This window comes from Homo sapiens, chromosome 16 (assembly GCF_000001405.40).
Source record: "Homo sapiens chromosome 16, GRCh38.p14 Primary Assembly".
In the NCBI taxonomy this organism is placed as follows: Eukaryota; Metazoa; Chordata; class Mammalia; order Primates; family Hominidae; genus Homo; species Homo sapiens.
This window is the reverse complement of record NC_000016.10, coordinates 28637891-28661401: the sequence shown is the minus strand read 5'-3', so window position 1 is coordinate 28661401 and position 23511 is coordinate 28637891. Positions and strand designations below refer to the sequence as shown.

The window sequence follows — 23511 nt, the reverse complement described above, 5'->3', positions numbered from 1 at the left end:
GGTGGAGGTTGCAGTGACCCCAAATCATGCACTCTAGCCTGGGGTCTCGCTTTTGCCCAGGTTAGAGTGCAGTGGCACAATCATAGTGGCTCACTGCAGCCTCAAACTCCTGGGCTGAAGGGAATCCTCCCACGTCAGCCTCCCAAGTAGCTAGGACTATAGGCATGTGCCATCATGGCGAGTTAATTTTTTGTGTGTTTTTATTGTCTTGAGACAGAGTCTTGCTCTGTTGCTCAGGCTGGACTGCAGTGGCATGATCTTGGCTCACCGCAACCTCCACCTCCTGGGTTCAAGCAATTCTCCTACCTCAGCCTCCCGAGTAACTGGGATTACAGGTGCGTGCCACCATGCCTGGCTAATTTTGTATTTTTAGTAGAGACAGGGTTTCGCCGTGTTGGTCAGGCTGCTCTCGAACTCCTGACCTCGTGATCCACCTGCCTCGGCCTCTCAAAGTGTTGGGATTACAGGCATGAGCCACTGAGCCTGGCCTGGTGAGCTAATTTTTAAATTTGTTATAGAGACAAGAGTCTCTCTTATGTTGCCCAGGCTGGTCTCGACCCCCTGGCCTCAAGTGATCCTCCCACCTCAGCCTCCCAAAGTGCTGGGATTACAGATGCGTGTCACCGCACCTGGCCTCTGAGGAGGATTTCATTATAAACCTGCCCTGAAGGGAGGGAATCCAATTTTACGAGAGGGTGTAGCCTGGTGAGGCCTGGATGACCTCCGGAGGCAGGGGCTTGTGCCTGGGCTGAGGCCTAAGGGACAATGGGCAGACATGAAGTTGCCCCAGGCAGAGGGTACAGTGTGGGCAAAGTCAGGAAGTGGCAGGGCTTGGATCACTCCAGGAAGAGAGAGGAGTCATGTGTCACAGGAGCTCGAGACCCAGAGAGTGAGGCAGGCAGGCAGGGACCAAGCTTGGGCACAGCCAGGAAGGCAGGACAGGGCATGGTGGGGCCAATGGAATCATTATCGAAGTCGGGGATTTTCAGGGAAACAGCTTAGATAAGGCCAGGCATACAGTAGCTCCCACCTGTAATCCCAGCATTTGGAGAGGCTGAGGTAGGAGGACTGCTTGAGCCTGGGAGTTCAAGACCAGCCTAGGCAACATAGACCCCATATCCACAAAAAATTTAAAAAAGGAGTTTGTGTTCCTGTAGTAGCATACTTGGGAAGTTGAGGTGGCAGTATCACTTGAGCCCGGGAGTTCAAGGCTAAAGTGAGCTGATGGAGCCATTGCACCCCAGCCTGAGCAACAGAGAGATACGCTGTCTCAAAGGAAATACAAATTAAAAAACCAGCCGGGCATGCTGGCGTGTGCCTGTAGTCTCAGCTACTTGGGACACTGAAGTAGGAGGATCGCTTGAGCCCAGGAGTTCAAGGCTGCCGTGAGCTATGATTGTGCCTCTGCAGTCCAGCCTGGGCGACAGAGAAAGACCCTGTCTCTTAAAAAAAAAAAAAAAAAAAAAAAAAAAAAAAAAATCTTAGATAAGAGGATGCTGTGCCTCCCTGGGGGTCTTCAGTCACCCATGGTCCTGGCAAGAGAGGAGGGCCAGGAGAGAGCTTCACCCACCTGCTGTCCTGCCCATGTGACATCCGCAGGTGCTGCCATGGCCACGACTGTTGTTACACTCGAGCTGAGGAGGCCGGCTGCAGCCCCAAGACAGAGCGCTACTCCTGGCAGTGCGTCAATCAGAGCGTCCTGTGCGATGAGTCCCCAGCAGCACCATGCCACCCACCCCGAGTATCCCCTGGGCACCCTGGCATAGCCAGATGACTTCCGTGCCCCTGTTGCAATAACCACTGCTTCCAACTCTCTATAGAACACCCCTTGGGTATATCTAATGTAAGTGATATTTATTTTATTTATTTTTTGAGTCAGAGTCTCGCTCTGTCACCCAGGCTAGAGTGTGCTGATGTGATCTTGGCTCACTACAACCTCTGCCTCCTGGGTTCAAGCGATTCTCATGCCTCAGCCTCCCAAGTGGCTGGGACTACAGGCATGCACCATCACGCCCAGCTAATTTTTGTATGTTTTTCAGTAGAGGTGGGGTTTCACCAAGTTGGCCGGGCTGGTCTCAAACTCCCCACCTCAAGTGCTCTGCCCGCCTCGGCCTCCCAAAGTGCTGGGATTACAGGCATGAGTCGTGGTGTCTGGCCCTAATGTGAGTGATCTTTAACAATGAGGACTTGAAAAAGAAAACCCTGAAGAAACCTAATTCTTTGATGTCTGGACGACAAGGAAGAAGATAGAAATGGCATCAGATAATAAACAGTGTAAATGTTTATCAGAAAGAGGCTGGTGGTCGGGACCAGTAGGAGGATCGCTTGAGTCCAGGAGTGCATCTCTACAAAAAAGTTAAAGGATTTTTTAACATTGGCCAGGCGTGGTGGCACACATACATCTGTGATCCCAGCTACTTGGGAGGCTGAGGCAGGAGGATTGCTTGAAGCCCAGGAGGTTGAGGCTGCAGTGAGCTGTGATCGAGCCACTGCACTCCAGCCTGGGTGACAGAGCAAAACCCAGTCTCAAAAAATAATAATAATAATAATAATATTTTACATAACCAACCACTTCTAAAGATTAAAAAAAAAACCCTACAATTAATTAAAAACCTCAGGTCCCTCAGGCAATCATACCAGATATTGAAACAAAGCAATAACATAAGGACTGCAGTATTTATTTTATTTTTATATTATTTATTTATTCTTCGTTAGTTTGTTTTTGGAGCGTGGGTTTTGTTTTGTTTTTTGATTTTTTTCTTTTTTTCGACCTACGGATTTATTCTTATTGCCCAGGCTTGAGTGCAATGGCGTGTTCTCAGCTTACTCAACCTCCGCCTCTTGGGTTTGGGTAATTGTTGTGCCTCGGCCTCCCTCTGCCTCTTGGGCTTGGGCGATTGTTCCACCTCATCCACCCTCCACCTCTTGGGTTTGGGTGGTTTTTCCACCTCGGCCTCCTGAGTAGCTAAGGGAGGAGTCTTGAGATTATCATCCACTGAGGGTGGAAGAGGAGAGGGTGGAAGCGGGACAAAGAGACATTCCTTCAGATTATCATCCACTGAGGGTGGAAGAGGAGAGGGTGGAAGCGGGACAAAGAGACATTCCTTCAGATTATCATCCACTGAGGGTGGAAGAGGAGAGGGTGGAAGAGGAGCAAGAGGACACTCCTTGATATTATCATCCACTGAGGGTGGAAGGGGAGTGAGCAGACACTCAGGAGGTGTCTTGAGGCTCAGGGAGTTATCAGTTATAGAATGTTGTTGAGTTGGAGGAGGTGGCTGGCGGCCCATCCTGTTTTTTAAAGTTTCAGCTGTGAGGTAGAGCCAGTAGGGCAATCCTGAAGAATGACGATGCTCCGCTGCCGCCATTCTGACCTGTAGGGCCAAAGGAGGGAATGTTTTCACACATATTCATTTGATGGACAAAATTACCACCACCAACACAGTCTGCACCTTCTGTTGCTGGTGATAGATTTTTGCACCTTTCCATCCTCCAGGTTTCAAAATAGCAGTATCAGTGTCATAATATCACCCTTCCACTGAGTACTGCCGACAGCTGGAGGGTAAAGGAAAGTCATTGGGACACACTGTTGTCTCCACATGCCACTGTGTCTGTCTGCAAATGTAGGCAGGCTGGGGTCCTGCCCCAGGGAAGACAGAGTCATAACAGAGTAATAAAGAAGCATGTTTGAGACACAGGAGTGTCTATGTCTATCCTCATTCCTCCCTCACAGCCATCACCAGAGCATGTTTCTTGCACCAGGTCAACAGACAGTAAGAGACAGTAAGAGAGGCATGAAAAGCCCATTGTCCACACATGTTGCAGCTTCTTTTTGGAGAATGTTTTCCAGGCCTTTCATGTTCTGTCTCTGACTCTCAGAACTCTGCAAGGTCAGTGTGACCACCCTGCTCCAAATCTAAGAAAACAGAGGTTTCCAGAGGAAGGAGAAATTGTGCCCAGGGTCACACAGCTTGCAAGAGGCAGAGTGGAAGTTGATTCCAGCTCTGCCTGCAGGACCCTCTCATTTCCCCTCTGTTTCCCTTCTTGACAAAGGAACTTCTTCACTCTGGAGGTGCCACCCATGAGAACAAAGAGCTCTGGAGAGATGTGGATTCCTGAAGAGCTGCAGGGGAACTGGGAGAGGGTTTTCTGACAGAACAATCTCACCTCAAGAAGTCACTTAGGCATGGCTGTAATATTTCTTTTCACTCCCAGGTAATACCAAATTGTAAGTGCACTAGGACATAAAGAATACTTTTGTCCATGGAAAAATGAGGTGGGAATTCTAAACAAAGCAAGTTTTAAAACTGTGTTTCACTTCAAGTGTACAAGTCCCATCACGTGTAATCATAGGACTTGGCAGCTTTTGAAGGTACAGAGGCCACACAAGAACCAGCTTAGCTGAGCATCATTTAAGGCCTTCATTTGGAATTGTCCCTGTGGGTAATAAGTTACATTCACTCTTCACTAATTTACAGTCAGGGCCCATTTGCTATTACAAATATGGAACCTCTGACACTTTGAATTTAGATCAGGGGCCCCACTGGGTGGGGATGAAGGTGTTTTTGCACAACACGGTTACCAACAGGGATGGGACTGTGATGCCTGTAGGCAGCCTTCCTCTCTGCCATCTCCCTCTGCAGGGCTTGAGCACAGAGCTGTAGGGAGAAAAATGTATCCATGTCCTGACCTGGCAGACTATGTTCAAAAGCAAGGAAAACAAACAAACTTACCCAGTTGCAAAGAGGCTTTCTTGCAGAAGGGGGGATCTGAAAAAGCCAACACATGAGAAATTGAATGTTGAGAGAGTCTAAGAGCCGTGGCATCATCTGCATCAGCACTGAACTATCCTGCAACTGCGGGGAGGAAGCTCCTTACTTTGCATTTGTGGTAGTCCTCTGCCCGCCGCCGCAACTCTTGCGCACGTTGAAACATTTTCCTATGGATTACAATCACTTTCATCAGATAAAGCACCACGTTCAGGATGATTTTAAATAATCTGCCATGTTTCTGTTATCCTCACAACTGTACCCTTACACAATCTATCTCTACCTAGAAAACGTATTTCAGATGGCTATAAGAGTACAGTCTGAGCCGGTCACGGTGGCTGATGCCTGTAGTCCCAGCACTCTGGGAGGGCGAGGCGGATGGATCACGAGGTCAGGAGATTGAGACCATCCTGGCTAATACGGTGAAACCCCGTCTCTACTAAAAATACAAAAGATTAGCCGGGCGTGGTGGCAGGCACCTGTAATCCCAGCTACTCGGGAGGCTGAGGCAGGGGAATCACTTGAACCTGGGAGGCGGAGGTTGCAGTGAGCCAAGATCACGTCATTGCACTCCAGCCTGGGTGACACAGCGAGACTCCATCTCAGAAAAACAAAAACAAAAACAAAAACAAAAAAACTGTACGGTCTGATCCAAACTGTTGCTGTATTGATTCCTCCTCTTGCTTACTGCCTGTTGACTTCTGAGATGATAGTTTCCTTCCCCATTCTCAGTATATCCCTAATTCATCCTTCATTGAGCATCTTTTATCATAAAGCTGTATTCTCTTTGTATTAATATCCTCACCGTGTTTCACAGGGCAGAAACAGCTGGGCTTATAAACAGGCATAGTCCTTTTGAAGGATGTGGTTGATCCTACAACAACACACTTTCCTAAGGATGACAACAACTCACCCCACCCCTAGAATGGCTGGTATGAACCGAGTTTCCACACAGTCTAGCTGGTAATGGGGTCAGGAGCCGTTTTGCTACTTCACATCTTTTGGTCACTGGTAAATATTAAGGTACTTTGTTTTCTGTTTTGTGAACTCTCTCTCTCTCTCTCACGATATGTCTTCTGACCGTTTGTTTCTATTTCTGCATTTACTGGGTCTAAACATTGTACAGAGGTTAAAAACAGCACTCCAATGGGCGTTTCCCAGGAGGGTGGGGTTCAGTTTCTGAACTCACTTGTAGGTGTGTATTTCTTTCATATCCAATTTCCCATTTTCCTCTGCCTCTGATACCTGCCTCTCCTTTTCTGCGTGCTCACATTCTTTCATGCTTAGTTTCCTCAGGTTAGAAGGGAGAGAAATGCACACACATGATCCACCAGTCCATGTGGGATTCCCTCTGCCCTTCTGGCATCTGAAGGCTGTGATTCAAAGATCCCCCCTGCAACCTTCCCACAAATGAACCAACTGATTCTCACAACCGAAGGGAGAATGGACACCTCCCATTGAGGGACCAAAAAAAATCACACTCTGGCCTGCTGGCAAGTCACCTGTCATTTCCAGCTCATCTTCATAGTTCCATAGTTAGTCCTATTCTTTAGTAAATATAAAGACTATTAAAAGCTTCTATGAGGTGCACTATGTGTGTCTCTGGGGTCAGTCTTGTGCTTGACACAGCGAAAGATCATTTTAGTTCAGTGTGAAAAACCAGACCTCACCAACTCATCACAACTAACTCCATCGGAAGCAGAGGATTGCTCCTCATCTGACTCTTCCTGTGTGAGACCTGCTTCTCAGTCAGAGGCTGATGCCAGAACTGAGACCATCAGCCATAGAGAGATCCTTCCAGAATATGGTGTCATTAACCCCGCAGTTCACTACTGCACTTTGCCATGATTCAGGACTGGAACTCTTGTCATCGACTTTAAAGATCCTGGTTGAGAGAAAAGGCAATCTGAATGCTGGGCGCATCTATTGAATTAGAAATGATCGGAATGGCTCCTAAGTCAGGGTGTTATGTCCTGAAAATAGGTGACAACGGCAAACCATCCACCCTGGTGTTGACTGACTTTAACAAGGTTCACTTCACAGACATTGAGGGCAGAAAAAGGAAATGGCCTAAAAAGGGTAAGTTTGCTGTGTTGCCCTCACACCACTTGATTCATGGTCCTGATCCTAAGGATCTCACCTGATACTTGGTTTTATAGGAAGGATGTGTAAAATTCCCAGAACGCTAGGAAACAGGGGCGAAAACACTTCAAAGAGAAAGTTAATGAACTTGTTTCTGACCACAGGGCATCCTTCAGCACATGCTGTCTGGAGTGGCCTCCAACAAGGAGTGTGTGGTGTGGTGCTGAGAATGCAATGGGAGCAGGGTCCTGTCCCCACGGTAAAGAAGCTCACAGCTTAATGCAAATGAGAAGCCAGTGAGGACATCACTACTCCTGCTGTCCACTTGGGAACTAGAAACACAAAACCTGACTCTGGAGGGAAGCTAAGGAAGCATTCTACTCTTGAGTTGACATAAGTGCATCTGAAGCTTCTGATCTCCGATGAGAACAATGGGGGACACCAAACAGAATATAAAACCCATGATTGAATACATCAAATTGCTAACATGGCAGTAAACAGACATGAGGTGAAGATGGAGAAGAAGGAAACCCAGGACGAAAGTCAGCCTCGCATTTGGAACCCATTTCCCTGAGTTTCATTGCTGAATTCCAGAAGGAACTACTGAGATGCAAAGAAGCACAGCAGCTTTTGCACACATGCGTGGGATTAGATGGAAAACAAGTGGATTGAGGGTCTGCCAATGAAAGCGACCCGTACTGAAGTCCACTGGCTCTGGTTGAGACCCAGAAGAGTCATGCATCAGAATAGAGGTGGACAGGAAATACCCTGGCCTTTGTAGGGACTGAGCCTGCACCGATGACCTCAATTGCAGCCTGTATGGAGGACCCGTGACCATCCCCCAGAAGTAGACTCCCATCTCTTCTGCAGCAAGATAACATGCCACTAGGCCTCAATTCATTGCTAAATATTTTTTAACGAGTATCTCACATTTAACAAAAAGAGATCAGTCATATGGCAGCAAAATACAATGTAATATGACCAAAACATGAAAGACTGTGAAAATGAATCTGGAGGTGACCCAAGCATTGAATTCAACAATCCAGGCTGGGTGCGGTGGCTCACACTGGGAGGCTGAGGTAGGCAGATCACCTGAGGTCAGGAGTTCAAGACTAGCCTGGCCAACATGGTGAACCCCTGTCTCTACTAAAAATACAAAAATTGGGCCGGGCACGGTGGCTCACGCCTGTAATCCCAGCACATTGGGAGGCCGAGGTGTGTGGATCATGATGTCCAGAGTTCTAGACCAGCTTGGCCAATATGGTCTAGAACTACTCTACTAAGTCTATGCCTCTACTAAGAATACAAAAATTATCCGGGCATGGTGGCATATGCCTGTAGTCCCAGCTACTCAAGAGGCTGAGGGATAAGAATCACTTGAACCTGGGAGGCGGAGGTTGCAGTGAGCCAAGATCATGCCACTGCACTCTAGCCTGGGTGACAGAGTGAGACTCTGTCTCAAAAAAAAAAAAAAAAAATTGGCCGAATGTGGTGGCACACACCTGTAATCCAAGCTACTCAGGAAGCTGAGGCAGAATTGCTTCAAACTGGGAGGCAGAGGTTGCAGTGAGCCAAGATTGCACCATAGCACTCCAGCCTGGGCGACAGAGCGAGATTCTATCTCAAAATTAAAAAAAAAAAAAAAAAAAGCCTGGGTGTGGTGGCTCACACCTCTAATCCCAGCACTTTGGGAGGCTGAGGCAGGTGGATTACCTGAGGTCAGAAGTTCGAGACCAGCCTGGACAACATGGTGAAACCCCATCTCTAGTAAAAATACAAAAATTAGCTGGGCATGGTGGTGGGCACCTGTAATCCCAGCTACTTGGGAGGCTGAGACAGGAGAATTGCTTGAAGCCAAAAGGCAGTGAGCTGAGATTGTGCCATTGCACTACAGCCTGGGCAACAACAGCAAAGCTCCATCTCAGGAAAAAAAAAAAAAAAAGAGAGAAAGGAAAACCAATGCCAGTACTAGCAACTCCTCTTCCCCCGAAAAAATTACAAACAAGAATGTAGGAAGGGAAAGGAATTATACAGCTTAAACTAATGAAGCAGAAAGGACAAACTCAATTTTGAGCCCACTGAATTTGCCACAAATATTGTAGAAAATATTCTCAAGGACTTTACAGTTGTCTACTTTGATTGGCACATGGTTCATACAACAGTATTTGTGTCAAGGCACATCTTACTGTTTTCTGGCGGTCTTCCTCTTTCCATTGATTTTGTCATGACGGTTGATTTTCGTTGTCACCTTCCTCTTACGGATTTTAGCTCTAACTTTTGTTTCCACATGCCTCCGTAGAGTAATGACGTCTTTCAGGCCAATTTTATTTCCTCGAAAGGAAGAAACTCTTTTCTTTGTGTGCATACAAATGGACCTCAGCCCTTGGTGAGAGTGAGGAGAGGAGAAGGTGAGAAACCTGAGGTCAAGAAGCTGTTCTTTCCCTTTCCAGGGCAAACTCATTTCCACACTATGGGGACTCCAACAGAGCCATACCTTTCTGTCTACTGCGGTTGGACCTCCAGGCTCTCTGCTGTACATCCATGGATCCATCATGTCCATTTCGAGACCAGAAGATAGTCTTCAGGAAAGACACCTAGGAAATAATAATATAAGAATGACGGCTGGGCACGGTGGCTCATGCGTATAAATAATCCCAGTACTTTGGGAGGCCGAGGCAGGTGGATCACGGGGTCAGGAGTTCAAGACCAGCCTGGCCAAGATGGTGAAACCCTGTCTCTACTAAAAATACAAAAATTAGCCAGGCATGGCAGCGGGCGCCTGTAATCCAAGCTACTCGGGAGGCTGAGGCAGAGAACCATTTGAAGCTGGGAGGCGGAGGTTGCAGTGAGCCGAGATCACACCACTGTACTCCAGCCTGAGCGACAGAATGAGACTCTGTCTCTCACACACACACACACACACACACACACACACACACACACACAAGAATGACATGAGGCTGGCACGGTGGCTCACTCCTGTAATCCCAGCACTTTGGGAGGCCGAGGCAGGCGGATCACCTGAGGTCGGGAGTTTGAGACCAGCCTCACCAACATGGAGAAACGCTGTCTCTGCTAAAAATACAAAATTAGCCAGGCATGGTGGTGCATGCCTGTAGTCCCAGCTAGTCAGGAGGCTGAGGCAGGAGAATCACTTGAACCCAGCAGGAAAAGGTTGTGGTGAGCTGAGATTGTGCCATTGCACTCCAAACCTGGGCAACAAAATTGAAACTCTGTCTCAAAAAAAAAAAAAAAAAAAAAAAAAATAGCCCAGGTGCGGTAGCTCACGCCTATAATCCCAGCACTTTGGGAGGCTGAGGCGGGTGAATCACAAGGTCAAGAGATGGAGACCATCCTGGGCAACATGGTGAAACCCCGTCTCTACTAAAAATACAAAAATTAGCTGAGCATGGTGATGCACGCCTGTAGTCCCAGCTACTCGGGAGGCTGAGGCAGGAGAACTGCTTGAACCCAGGAGGCAGAGGTTGCAGTGAGCCAAGATCCCACCACTGCACTCCAGCCTGGTGACAGAGTGAGACTCCGTCTCAAAAAAAAAAAAAAAAAATGACATGAATATACTTCACACAACTGAACTGTACACTTCAACACGGTTAGATGGTAATTATCATCTTATAAGTATTTTACCACAGGTTAACATGTTTCACAACTTGAAAAGGAAGTAATTACCTTCAGCTCTCTGAGTTCTAGAATTTGTAACATTTCACCCCCTGCTCCTTCCTGATCTGCACTGGAGCATCTTCCTTCTGTCCCTGCTCTACTCAGAGTTCACTTTCCCTTCCCTCACATCAGCTTCATTGAGGCTGGTTTGAACTTAACGCAAAACATTCTCACTAATGACTGAATTCCCACCAAGATTTCCATATTATCACAGTATGCTTTTAATCTTCTAAGATATTAAATATTTGTTCTCATCATAGCGAAAATGCAATGCAAATCCCATCTCAGATGTGGGTCAGATACCTATGAATCTCCTGAGGTAGTCATTGAAATGACTTTTTTCTTGAGATGGAGTGTCACTCTCAACCATGCTGAAGTGCAGTGGCACTACCTTGGCTCACGGCAACCTCCACCTCCCAGATTCAAGCGATTCTTGTGCCTCGGCCTCCCAAGTAGCTGGGATTACAGGTGCCTGCTACCATGCCTGGCTAATTTTTGTCTTTTTAGTAGAGATGGGGTTTCACCATGTTGGCCCATCTGGTCTTGAACTCCTGACCTCAAGTCATCCACCTGCCTCAGCCTCCCAAAGTGCTGGGATTACAGGCATGAGCCACCACACCTGGCCTGAAATAATATCTTTCAAATTCTTTGTAGAATTTGTTTTTTCCTGATTTCTGCACATAGGATAAAAAAAAAAATCATGTACTAGGATTTCGAGAGAAGCAATGGGTAATCTAAAAAGATGAAAAGAGCAACCACGTCAATCCCACAGCTACTACTAGATTTCACAGGAAAGGTAGCTGGCCCAGTTTGGAGCTAGGAGAAATGTCAAACACATGAAGAAATGACAAGCAAAGAAATGCCATCACGCATGAATGCTTCATGGCACCCATGATGTCCCTGCTTAGGAGGTAATGGTATAGATGACTAGATGACAAGGACAAAGATGAGAGGTGCGAAGTTGTCCAAGTCCAGCAGCTCAACTGAACTTTCCTAAATGGAACTGTTAAAAAGTGGTAAGTTTAAAAACTTCCCCTGGCTCACGTGGTGGCTCACGCTTGTAATCCCAGCACTTTGGGAGGCTGAGGCGGGTGGATCATTTGAGGTCGGGTTTTGAGACTAGCCTGGCCAACATGGTAAAACCCCGACTCTACTAAAAATACAAAAATTTGCTGGGCATGGTGGTGGGCACCTGTAATCCCAGCTACTTGAGAGGCTGAGGCAGGGGAATCGCTTGAAGCCAGGAGGTGGAGGTTGCAGTGAGCCGAGATCACACCATTATACTCCAGCCTGGGCAACAGAGGGAGACTCGTCTCGGGGGTGAGAAAAGGAAAAAAAAAAAAAAAAGCTTCCTCCAATTTATACCAAAAATTCTCTGTTCAGGACTAAGTGGCATAGAGAATGTTAAGTGTGCCTAGATATCTTCATAACTCATATATTTTCTGTTTTCTACATATCTTGAAAGGCAGTGCCAAATGACGTGTAATTATCTAGGTGGTAAAACTGAAACATACTTCCTCTTCCCTTGAATATAAAAAAGCATTGTGGTATTAGTACTTTTATCTTGGATCATTGTTCAGAAGGAGGTTCAGCCCCCAGACAACCACATTTTTACTGTCATGAATGGCAAGACAAAATGTAGAGCTCAACTTACCCAAAGGAAAAAAGGCTCAAAAGACAAATTATGGCACAACTTAGCAGCCAAATTCTTACCAAGTACAGACTTTTGACATACTGATCTCTCTCCAGTTGCAAGTGGGAACATGCACTTTGAATGATGTCATTCAAAATTACCCTGCCCAGACACACTTTTCATTGATTCTCTTGGAGGGCAGTTCTAAGAGATTCTCTGGGGCTTTCTCTGCATCATGAGACGCAGTGCAGTTCTGCCCTTCACCTTCCGGCAGTTTGTCACCTCGTCCCTATGACCTCAGAGGAACTTTGTCTCAGGCCAATTGTTTGTTCCTTGGCCTCTTTCATTTCCCCTAAAAATCATTTGCTGCCCCTCTAAATGGCCTACATCTCCATCTATCTCCCTCTCCCCTCAGAAGAGGGTGCTCTTTAAGCATCAACCATCCGGCCCTTCTAGCAGTCTCATTTTTCAGCTGGTTCCCATGTTTATGCCTGTTCTATGTTTTTCTTTTCCTGTTAAGCTGTCTGTTGTCAGCTCATTTCTGCAGTGAATCTTCAGAGAGGAGATTGGAAGCTTTCCTTCCACCCATACGATAGAACTATAAAGCAGAAGAGTTTAGAAAGAATTTCCTATTTAAGTGACGAAACCTCATACTCCATTTGTGATAAATAGCACAAAGGCTAAAAAAACTTATTTTTGACCAAAAGCTCTGTTGACATTCTATTAAACAAACACCGACCTATTTAATTTTCATAATGTAAATGGCAGACATTTTCATAATTCTTATGCTAATAAATCATTTCCCTGATTTTTTGGGTAAAACCACATATTCATAATGAAGTCCAGAAACGTGAATTGTTTTATATAATTTATTCTTATTTGTGATTACAAGTATACCTCTACAGAAAGTTAGTATACTCACACAAAGGCAACTTGTGCAGAAGAGAATGTTAAATGTGTAACATCTCAGAAACCCAATAATGATAATTATCAAATTATCCAATTTTTGTGGAGATGGGGTTTTGCCATGTTGGCCAGGGTGGTCTCGAACTCCTACACCAAAGTCAGTCTCACGATGACGATAGACAGCCAGACTATTGATAACCTGGAATAATAATAGTTGAAATAATGAAAAGGTCAATGACACCGACAATATTTCACTCAGAAAGAATCATCCTTAGAAACCGTCAACCTCCTCCAAAAGGTAACCACATCCCTCAGATATCACCATGGGATTCCACTGCTACAAAAAAGAACAGAAGTTAGAAGTCTCATGTTTTTCAGATGGCTGGTAGTGTTTTTAGGCATTGCAAATGTGGGGTGTTGTCTTTCTTGGTATAAAGCAGGGATATCCAATCTTTTCACTTCCCTGCCTATATTAAAAGAAACAAAGTTGTCTTGAGCCACACATAACATACACTAACACTAACAATAGCTGATGATCTAAAAAAAAACTCTTTTTTTTTTTTTTTTTGGAGACAGAGTTCCGCTCCACTCAGTCGCCCAGGCTGGAGTGCAGTGGTGCAATCTCGGCTCACTGCAACCTCCAGCTCCTGGGCTCAAGCCATTCTCCTCCCTCAGCCTCCCGAGTAGCTGAGATTACAGGTCTCTGCCACCATGCCTGACTCATTTTTGTATTTTTAATAGAGATGAGGTTTCACCATGTTGGCCAGTCTGGCCTTGAACTCCTGGCAGGCGATCTACCTGCCTCGGCCTCCCAAAGTGCTGGGATTACAGGTGTGAGCCACCGTGCCCAGCCATTTTTTTTTGTTTTTGTTTTTGTTTGGTGTTTTGTTTTTGAGATGGGGTCTCACTCTGTCACCCAGGCTGGAGTGCAGTGGCGTGCTCTCGGCTCACTGCAACCTCGGCCTCTCAGGTTCAAGTGATTCTCCTGCCTCAGCCTCCTGAGTAGCTGGGAGTACAGGTGCCTGACAATGCACTCAGCAAATTTTTGTATTTTTTGTGGAGATGGGGTTTTGCCATGTTGGCCAGGGTGGTCTCGAACTCCTGACCTCAGGTAATCTGCCCGCCTCAGCCTCCCAAAGTGCTGGGATTACAGGCATGAGCCACTGTACCTGGCCAAAATCTCCTAATGTTTTAAGAAAGTTTACAAATTTGTGTTGAACTGCATTCAAAACTGTCCTGGGCCACATGCAGCCCGTCACTCATGGCTAAGACAAGCTAAGTATAAAGTAATTATCTTTTCTTTTTGTTTGGAGACAAAGTCTTGCTCTGTCACCCAGGCTAGATTGCAGTGGCATGATCTCAGCTCACTGCAACCTCCGCCTCCCGGGTTCAAGCGATTCTCCTGCCTCAGCTACTGAGTAACTGGGATTACAGGCGCCTGCCACCGCACTCGGCTAATTTTTGTATTTTGAGTAGAAACAGGGTTTCACCATCTTGGCCAGGCTGGTCTCCAACTCGTGACCTCTTGATCCACCTGCCTCGGCCTCCCAAAGTGCTGGGAATACAGGTGTGAGCCACTGCACCTGGCCAGTAGTTATCTTTTCTTTAAAGTTATTTACTTGTTTTTTAAATTGATGTATAACATTGGATGCATTTATTATATATCACATGGTAAAAGAATCCCTCTAAATAATACTTCTCTCTTGGATTATATGAATCTTTGTCATTTGAAGCTCAGCATAAGTAAAAAAAAAAAAATACAATGAAGAGATTACTTCATTCACAAATAAGTATCAAATTTTAGTGCTTAAAAATTAACAAGGTGGGCCGGGTGTGGTGGCTCACGCCTGCAATCTCAGCACTTTGGGAAGCCGAGGTGGGTGGACCACGAGATCAGGAGATTGAGACCATCCTAGCTAACACGGTGAAACCCATCTCTACTAAAATTACAAAAAATTAGCAGGGCATGGTGGCACGTGCCTACAGTTCCAGCTACTTGGGAGGCTGAGGCAGAAGAATCACTTGAACCCGGGAGGCAGAGGTTGCAGTGAGCCGAGATCGCACCACTGCACTTCAGCCTGGGTGACAGAGCGAGACTCTGTCTCAAAAAAAAAAAAAAAAAAAAAAAAAATTACCAAGGTGGAGATCATGAAAATGGCATGAATAGTGTGGGATTTCTCTAAGATTGTTGATATTAATTCCAGTAGACTCTTATGTGAGTGAAGACGAAGACTTCCCCTGAGTAAGTTCAGACAGCTTGTGATAACATTTCTACATCGATTCCTCAGGATTTAACTGTATATTCTTGAAAACATCTCAATTTTAAATGTTTCTTTCAAGATGGTGAATTAAACAGAGATAGCCCTTCAACAGGTTGAACTCAGCATATGCTGAGTCTGAAATGGAAATGATGGAGTTAGAGAACCATACAACAATGGTAATGATTTCAGAAACATGGTGTTGAGCAGAATAAAGCAGACACAAAAGAGTACCTATGGCATGGCACGCATCTGTATACGCGAAATTCCAGAATAAGCAAGCTAACCTATGATAAGAAAGAGACTGGCTGGGAAGAGTGAGAGTTCACTTTCTGGGGTGACATAATAGTGTAGATCTTGGCTGGGCACGGTGGTTCACGCCTGTAATCCCAACACTTTGGGAGGCCGAGGCGGGCGGATCACCTGAGGTCGGGAGTTCAAAACCAGCCTGACCAACATGGAGAAACCCTATCTCTACTAAAAATACAAAATTAGCTGGGAGTGGTGGCACATGTCTGTAATCCCAGCCACCCGGGAGGCTGAGGCAGGAGAATCGCTCGAACCTGGGAAGCAGAGGTTGCGGTGAGCTGATATTGCCCCATTGCACTCCAGCCTGGGCAACAAGGGAGAAACTGTCTCAAATAAATAAATAAATAAATAAAATAATGTAGATCTTGAAAGGGGGTCGGTTTATGCTGGTGTAAGTACTTTCCAAAGTTAGTAAACTTACACTTAAGGTTATATATTTTGGCCAGGCGCGGTGGCTCACGCCTGTAATCCCAGCACTGGGAGGCCGAGGCAGGCGGATCACGAGGTCAAGAGATGGAGACTATCCTGGCGAACATGGTGAAACCCCGTCTCTACTAAAAATACAAAAATTAGCCAGGCGTTGTAATCTGAGCCACTCAGGAGGCTGGGGCAGGACAATTGCTTGAACCCCGGAAGCGGAGGTTGCAGTGAGCCGAGATCTTGCCACTGCACTCCAGCCTGGGCGACAGAATGAGACTCTGTCTAAAAAAAAAAAAAAAAAAAAAAAGTCATCAAACCAGATGACACAAATCAAATGACATTTCACTTTGTTTTGGTCCATTTTGTTTGTTAGAGACAAGAGTGCAGCGGGGCCATCTCAGCTCACTGCAACGTCCAGCTCCTCGGCCCAAGCGATCCTCCCACCTCAGCCTCTCCAGTAACTGGGATAACAGGTACGCACCACCAGGCCCGACTAATCTTTTTTGGAATTTTTTGTAGAGATGGGGTTTCGCCATGATGCCCTGGCTAGTCTTCAACTCCTGGACTCAAGTGATCTGCCCACCTCGGCCCCCTAAAGTGCTGGGATTACAGGCCTGAGCTGTGTAATTTCATGCCGCGTGACACAGCCCAGTAAAAAGGAAGAAACCCCGCGGGTCCAGCGTCTACTCACAGGGGTGGGCTGATGGCTGATAAATCCCAGCAGGAGCCAAATGAGGAGCCAAAAGCGCAGCCGCATGTCCTGGTCCTTTCAGGGCGCCCTGAGGTGTCCAGGACAGAGGTGGAGGTGGCTTAGGGCAGGGGGGAGGGAAGGGGACGGGGAATGGGCCGGATCTGAGTTGGGGAGGGGGAGGGGAGGGGGAGGGGGAGGGGAGGGGGAGGGGGAGGGGAGGGGGAGGGGAAGGGGGGAAGTAAGGGAAGGGAAAGGAAGAGAAGGGGGCTGTTGGGCACCTGGAGGAGGTGGAGGAGGAGGAGGAGAAGAAGAAAGGGGTCTGGGAAAGGATCCGGTTCAAATTAAGTTCTCAAGCGCTGGTGGAAGGTTTAGCTACAGGTCACGGAGAAGATCAGGGAAGCAACAGGACACGCGGGACAAGGGAGCGTGAGGCTTAGGAGCAATGAGAGGGAGACAAAAAGGTTCTGCTATCTGCCAAACCTTCTTCGGTCTGGGCCCTCCCTTAGCAAACCTGGGGCTTTATACTCCCTCTCCACCAATCCCTGATGACCCCGGTGGTGCCTCACAATGGACAATGCCAAGTAGCGCCCGCATCATTCCAATGACCCCTCCCCCATCTCAGTCTCCCACACTCCTCGCAAGGACAGGTCCTCTCTGGAACCTTCACAAACCTGATTTCTGGTCCTCCCCAACCAGCTCCCTGTCCCTGCTTCTGGGCGCTCCTTCCTTCCTGAGCTCCCAGGGTTCCTCAAGGTCACTTTTGGCGACAAAACATAAAAAACAAATGATGGCAGGATGGCAGGAAGAACCTCATACCCAAGCAGAGTGCCAGGTTTTACAGCCTCCGCTCAGCCATTCATATCCTAAGCAACAAAACATCAGCAGGATGCGGAAGGTCCCGATAGTAAACCATCTCCATCACATCCATGTAGCCATCCGTCCATCAACCTGTATCTCAGGAACAAATGTAGATACATTCATTTTAAGCAAGCATGGTACATTTACAAAAATTAACCTGACTTATTTTGTTCCAGCAAATCTCAATATATTTGAGAGCAATCAAATCACACAGCACGTTTCTGATCATATAACTGTGCTAGAAGTCAATGATTAAAAGCTAATTCAAAATTATTATTTGCTTGGAAATTCAAAGTGCCCTTATAAGACATAAACATAAGAAAGAATCCAAAATGAAACAAGATTGCCTTTCAACTCAATGATAAGATCATAACATGGCAATAAAATGTCTCCCTCTGGCCTGGGAATTCCTCTTTGTGGCACAAGGTTGTGTGATCTCAAATCACCCCTAACCCACCTAGACAATTTAACATCCGAAACCGAGTGATGATGTCCTTATCTATAATCATCTTACTGCCTGTGTGTGTGGACTTTAAATTCTGAACCCAAATGAGGGGGAGAAAACCAAGTTGACCTTCATGATTGACCTCTCAGGGATGTCCAAGGAATCTGTGCATTTCAAGAAACAAAGTTCATCAGCTTCTCTCCTAAGGTATTTGCCCACAATACCCAGAGGGCTTGGCAGCATCATGTGTGATGGGTGGGGAGCTCCAAGCAGGTGGGCAGGACCCAGGGGTCTGGTGACCAGGACAGACCCCCACTGTCTATCACCTTTCCTGGCCCTGTCCTCAGCTAAACTTCCCACAGGCCTTCCGCCCGATCACACAGAGTATGCCCAAACTCTCTCAGGCCTCTGGCAGCTGAAAACCACTGCTTTAAATCCCTTTACCATTTACTATGACATAAGGTTATTGTGAACAGGAAATATTCTATTGATGCTACAAATGGAAAGCCAATGCCTTTACCATAAATAGAAAAACAACCCTAAGAAACAAGCAAAACAAAAACAAAACAGGGGCTGGGTGTGGTGGCTCACGCCTGTAATCCCAGCACTTTGGGAGGCCGAGGTGGGCGGATCACAAGGTCAGGAGTTCCAGACCAGCCTGGCCAATATGGTGAAACCCTGTCTCTAATAAAATATAAAAATTAGCCGGGTGTGGTGGTGGGCACCTGTAGTCCCACCTACTTGGGAGGCTGAGGCAGGAGAATAGTTTGAACCCGGGAGGCAGAGTCTGCAGTGAGCCGAGATTGCACCACTGCACTCCAGCCTAGGCGACAGAGCGAGACTCTGTCTCAAAAACAGCAACAACTACAAACAAACAAAAAACAGGGTTTACAAAACTATGGAATTCAATTCTTTTTATATGCTGCAGCCATGTTCCGGCCCTAGATTTGGCTGGGCATGGTGGCTCACACCTGTAATCCCAGCACTCTGGGAGGCTGAGGTAGGTGGATCACAAGGTTAGGAGTTCGAGACCAGCCTGACCAACATGGTGAAACCCTGTCTCTACTAAAAATACAAAAATTAGCCAGGCATGGTGGCACACACCTGTAATCCCAGCTACTCAGGAGGCTGAGGCAGGACAATCCCTTGGGCCCGGGAGGCGGAGGTTGCAGTGAGCCGAGATCGTGCCATTGCACTCCAGCCTGGGTGACAGAATGGAATGAGACTCTGTCTCAAAAAAAAAAAGAAGCCCTAGATTTCGGTTGTGTTGGTTATAAAAGGAGAGACCAAGTAAGTGGGGGTTGAAGTCAGATTAGAGCAAAAGTGAATGGCAGAGAGTACTATAATGTCCATGAAGGGTTGCTAGAGTCACCGTGATCATAGCCCAAGCAGAGACAGGGAAAGGAAGATGTGAGCAGAGTTTGGGGTCTCGAACAATGGAGGTTATTCGTGCAGCCCAGGAAAGGCTCCCCAAAGCCAGGATCAACCTCCCTTGCAGGCGGTCCCTCATGGAGGCATGGCCAGGCACCTTAGATTTGAGACCAGCTATGTTGCTGCTGACCAGCTGTGTGACCCTGGGCTGGTTTCCTTCCATACAATGGGAGTGCCAATGGCTGCATGCATGCAAAGACCGTCTGAGGATAGGAGGAAGCAATCTGTTGAGCACCCGTGTACCTGAGTGTCATCACCTCCCAAGGGCATCTTTCGTTCCAGAGCTGGCACCTTGGAAGGCCCTTGGTCACTGAAGGCAGTGATGATGGTAACAGCAGTAAATCATCATTTACGGCTGATGAGGGAAGGCCAGAAGGTAGGGCTCCTAGGTCCTGGATAAGAATGAGGGTCTGGGCACTCCTGGGGATAGCTGAGTGGTAGGACTCCTGGGTCCCCAGGGTGCAGGTCCATCTTCAGTGGCATTGGGCCTAGGCTGGGATGCTGAGTTATCCACTGGAGCATCAGCAGTACAGTCAGGCACAGAGGCAGTGGATCCATCGGAGGTGGCAGGTGTAGGATCATCTGGTGAGCAAGTAGAGTCACCAAGTCTGGCTGACCACTACCCCCACTACCCCCACTATCCCCACAGATGATGCCCTGTCCCTTGCCTCATGCTCCGGCAGGGTACAGGCTCACACCTGGGGCCTCATGGAGCATCTCTCTAAGACCTCTGTGTCCTGGTCATTGAATGGGCACTTGAGTCACCCAGGGCCATTGGAACAAAGAGGAAGAATCAGGCCCCATGATGTTTTGGGAGAGTGTTTAGCACAGGAAAATGCACAGAATACATGCACGACACAGGGGCACTGTCAGTGTGGGAGCAATAGTTTACAACCTCCAGCCCTAATCTGAGCACTCTCACCTGTGCAATCTGAAAGGAACAGGAGACTTGCAGGAAAGACAGTGCCTGGATTTAACTTAAAGGAACTAAAATGTTGGAATTTTTACTCTTGATATCCTTCCAAATCAACTCTCTCAATGTTCCCATCCTCAAAACTATCATATGGGGTAACTGAGGCAGTCAGAGATTTACTGACTCAATGTCACTCAATTGATTCTGAGTTCACTGCTGATTACATTCGACCAAACTGCTTTTTCTGAAGTCTACTCCGTTTAATCATGCTGGTGATGATTTTGTGCAGCTCTGGGACAAACTCCACCTGGCTGAAGATAAAGCAAATCTGCGGTGACTTAGTCCTCCTGTCATTTCCCATCAGTTCCCCACTCTCTTCCTCTGCCCCTCCACAGTCTCCCATGCAGGCTGACACCATATGACGGTCTTAATGGAGTCCACCAAGTATTTCAGGTTCTCTCCTGGGCCACTTGAAAGTGGATGTACCCATGGGATTTGCTTTGACCCAGGAGATGTGAGTGGAAGTGAAGCGTGTCACCTCGAGGCAAAAGAGTTGGGAGCCATTGAGACTGGCCACTCTCTCCTTCATCTCTTGGAGCAACTGACAGCTCCTATATGGAGGCTGCTCCTTTATTCTCGTGGCAGGATGAGGGCATGTGGGGCACAGGGCACAGGAGAGCCATGGAGGATGTGCAGCATGGGCAGGAAAAGAGCCTTCAGTGGTGTACATTTTGTACATTTCCATCGTTTGGGGCTGTTTCTTACCTACAGTGATACCTAGCCCATCCTAGCAGGCATGCACCATCTACCCCACACTCTGTGATGCAGACTAGCCTGCCGTCAGAACATGAACTGGTGGTCAGACACACATAGGTTTCAGTTCCAGCTCTGCCTCTTATTGACTGTAACCTCAGGCTTAACTTTCAGTCTCTGAGCCTCAGTTTCAACTCTGTAAAATGAGGTGGCTATACCATCTCAGGTTGCAGAGAGAATTAAATGAAATATAAGTGCATGTAGAGCATTGAACCCAGGGCCTGGCACACACAGTGAGTACACAATGTTAGCCATGTAGCTTCATGATGCATACTGATTGTCAATATTCAGACAATGCAGTAAAGTGTTACCAAAAATAAAAGTAAACTTATTTGCATATGTATTCTTTCAATCTTTATTTTTAAACAGGGTAAAACTATGCATATTCTTTCATAGCCAGTGTTTTTCTCTTCATAGTATATTGTTAAAATAATTTTATCTTGGACGGGGTGTAGCGGCTCACACCTATAGTCCCAGCACTTTGGGAGGCCACGGTGGGCAGATCACGAGGTCAGGAGTTGACACGAGCCTGGCCAATATGGTGAAACCCCATCTCTACTAAGAATACAAAAATTAGCTGGGCATGATGGTGCACACCTGTAGTCCCAGCTACTCAGAGGCTGAGGCAGAGGAATTGCTTGAACCCGGGAGACGGAGGTTGCAGTGAGCCAAGATTGTGCCATTGCACTCCAGCCTGGGGGACAGAGTGAAACTCTGTCTCAAAAAAAAAAAAAAAAAAATATATATATATGTGTGTGTGTGTGTGTCTGTGTGTGTGTCTGTGTGTGTGTGTGTGTATCTATATAAATCTCAAAAATAAAAGATCATTTTTGAGATTATTATTTTAAAAGACAAGATAATGTTCAACTTAATGACTAATTTAATTATTACTATTGGACTTTTTGTAGACTGCACAGAGCATTCAAAACAAATGAAGGAGAATAAAAAATATGTATTACATGTTGTAAAATAAATGTGATGTGGTTAATTCTTTTATTCAAAATTATAGAACATATATATGTACTATAGAATGTATTTCTTATTATGAGTCATGTTAAAAAGTAGTTTAGAAGCTGTTGATTTGAATTTCCTTTTCAAATTTTGCAGGATAATTTTTTTTTTTTTTTTTGACAGAGTCTCGCTCTGTCGCACAGTCTGGAGTGCAATGGCGTGATCTTGGCCCACTAAAACCTCCACCTCCTGAATCTAAGCAATTCTCCTGTCTCAGCCTCCTGAGTAGCTGGGACTACAGGCTCACACCACCATGCCCGGCTAATTTTTGTATTTTTAGTAGGGACGAGGTTTTGCCATATTGGTCAGGCTGGTCTTGAAGTCCTGGCCTCAGGTGATCCACCAGCCTCAGCCTCCCAAAATGCTGGGATTACAGGCATGAGTCACCATGCCCAGCCTAAACTTGGCAAGATAATAAATAAACTTTTTAAGTGTCGTTGGGCACTTGTCTGGTTGTTTTTCTTTAGGTTACCATGCCAGCAATGATTCCTTTTGAGTTTCTGACAGAAGATAGTGGTTTTCATCCAAATAAGTCAACTACTTTACCCCATCCCTAAGCCACTTGTATGGAAAGAAAAAGAGGAAGAAGCCAGTACTGTGACTGCGTAAGCTTCCCCCAGCATCACCCGCTATGAGATGTGTGGCAGCTGAGACCCGGGAACTGCTCAAGGGCACCAGGCCCCATCTTGTCTGCACTCACTCACCTTCCTCAGGTACTCGCATGGGCATGTCACTGACTTTACATGCTGCTGCAGCTCCTTGGTGAGCTGGCCCTGGTCATGGGACAGGAACTGTGGGGTCAGGACAATAGAGAGCTTCACCATTTGCAGAATGAGAACAGGGGCTCATGATGAGTGCCAACCTATTAGACAATTAAGAAAAAAAGTTTGTTGAATGAGTGGAAAAACAAGGTGATGTTTGAGTCTATAGTGGTCAAGAGCATAGGGGCTTCAGAAAAGGACAGAACCAAGTTCAAATTCCTGTACTTTGAATTTCTACTTCATGCCATGCAAAATTACTTTACCCCTTTTAACCTCAGTTTTCTTCTGTGTGAAACAGGAACAATAGTTTCATTCGTCATTCAGTTTCTCTCAAGGTTTCATGAGATCATACCTATAAAACATCCAAGTCATTTAAATGTATCATCATTTCTGTCATAATTAGTGGGATCCATTTCACTATTATTGGATATACAGTTCTGTGCCTGAAACCTACAAAAAAGAAAATGTTAAGTCTAAAAAGCATTAGTGATTTCTCATTTTTATATTACTAATTATAACCCTATTTAATCACA

The 23511-nt window shown here is 46.4% G+C and overlaps 1 protein-coding gene across 19 annotated transcripts; it reads right to left on the bottom strand.

Moving 5' to 3' along the window:
• Positions 2658 to 23511, bottom strand: NPIPB8 (nuclear pore complex interacting protein family member B8). 19 transcript variants are annotated; one of them, XM_047434563.1, is made up of 10 exons: positions 22922 to 23006; positions 19724 to 20062; positions 17025 to 17694; positions 16747 to 16834; positions 13085 to 13267; positions 9346 to 9445; positions 9038 to 9233; positions 4879 to 4939; positions 4587 to 4769; positions 2658 to 3374 (listed from the first exon to the last, which is right to left on the bottom strand). In XM_047434563.1, the coding sequence occupies exons 4-10, from the start codon at positions 16810 to 16812 to the stop codon at positions 2772 to 2774; spliced, it is 1392 nt and encodes a 463-aa protein (XP_047290519.1). In that variant the 5' UTR covers positions 16813 to 16834; positions 17025 to 17694; positions 19724 to 20062; positions 22922 to 23006; the 3' UTR covers positions 2658 to 2771. The 19 variants fall into 19 exon arrangements, with proteins under 19 accessions (XP_047290519.1, XP_047290524.1, XP_047290520.1 ...); XM_047434568.1 differs by having other exon boundaries at positions 4734 to 4769; XM_047434564.1 differs by having other exon boundaries at positions 17418 to 17694.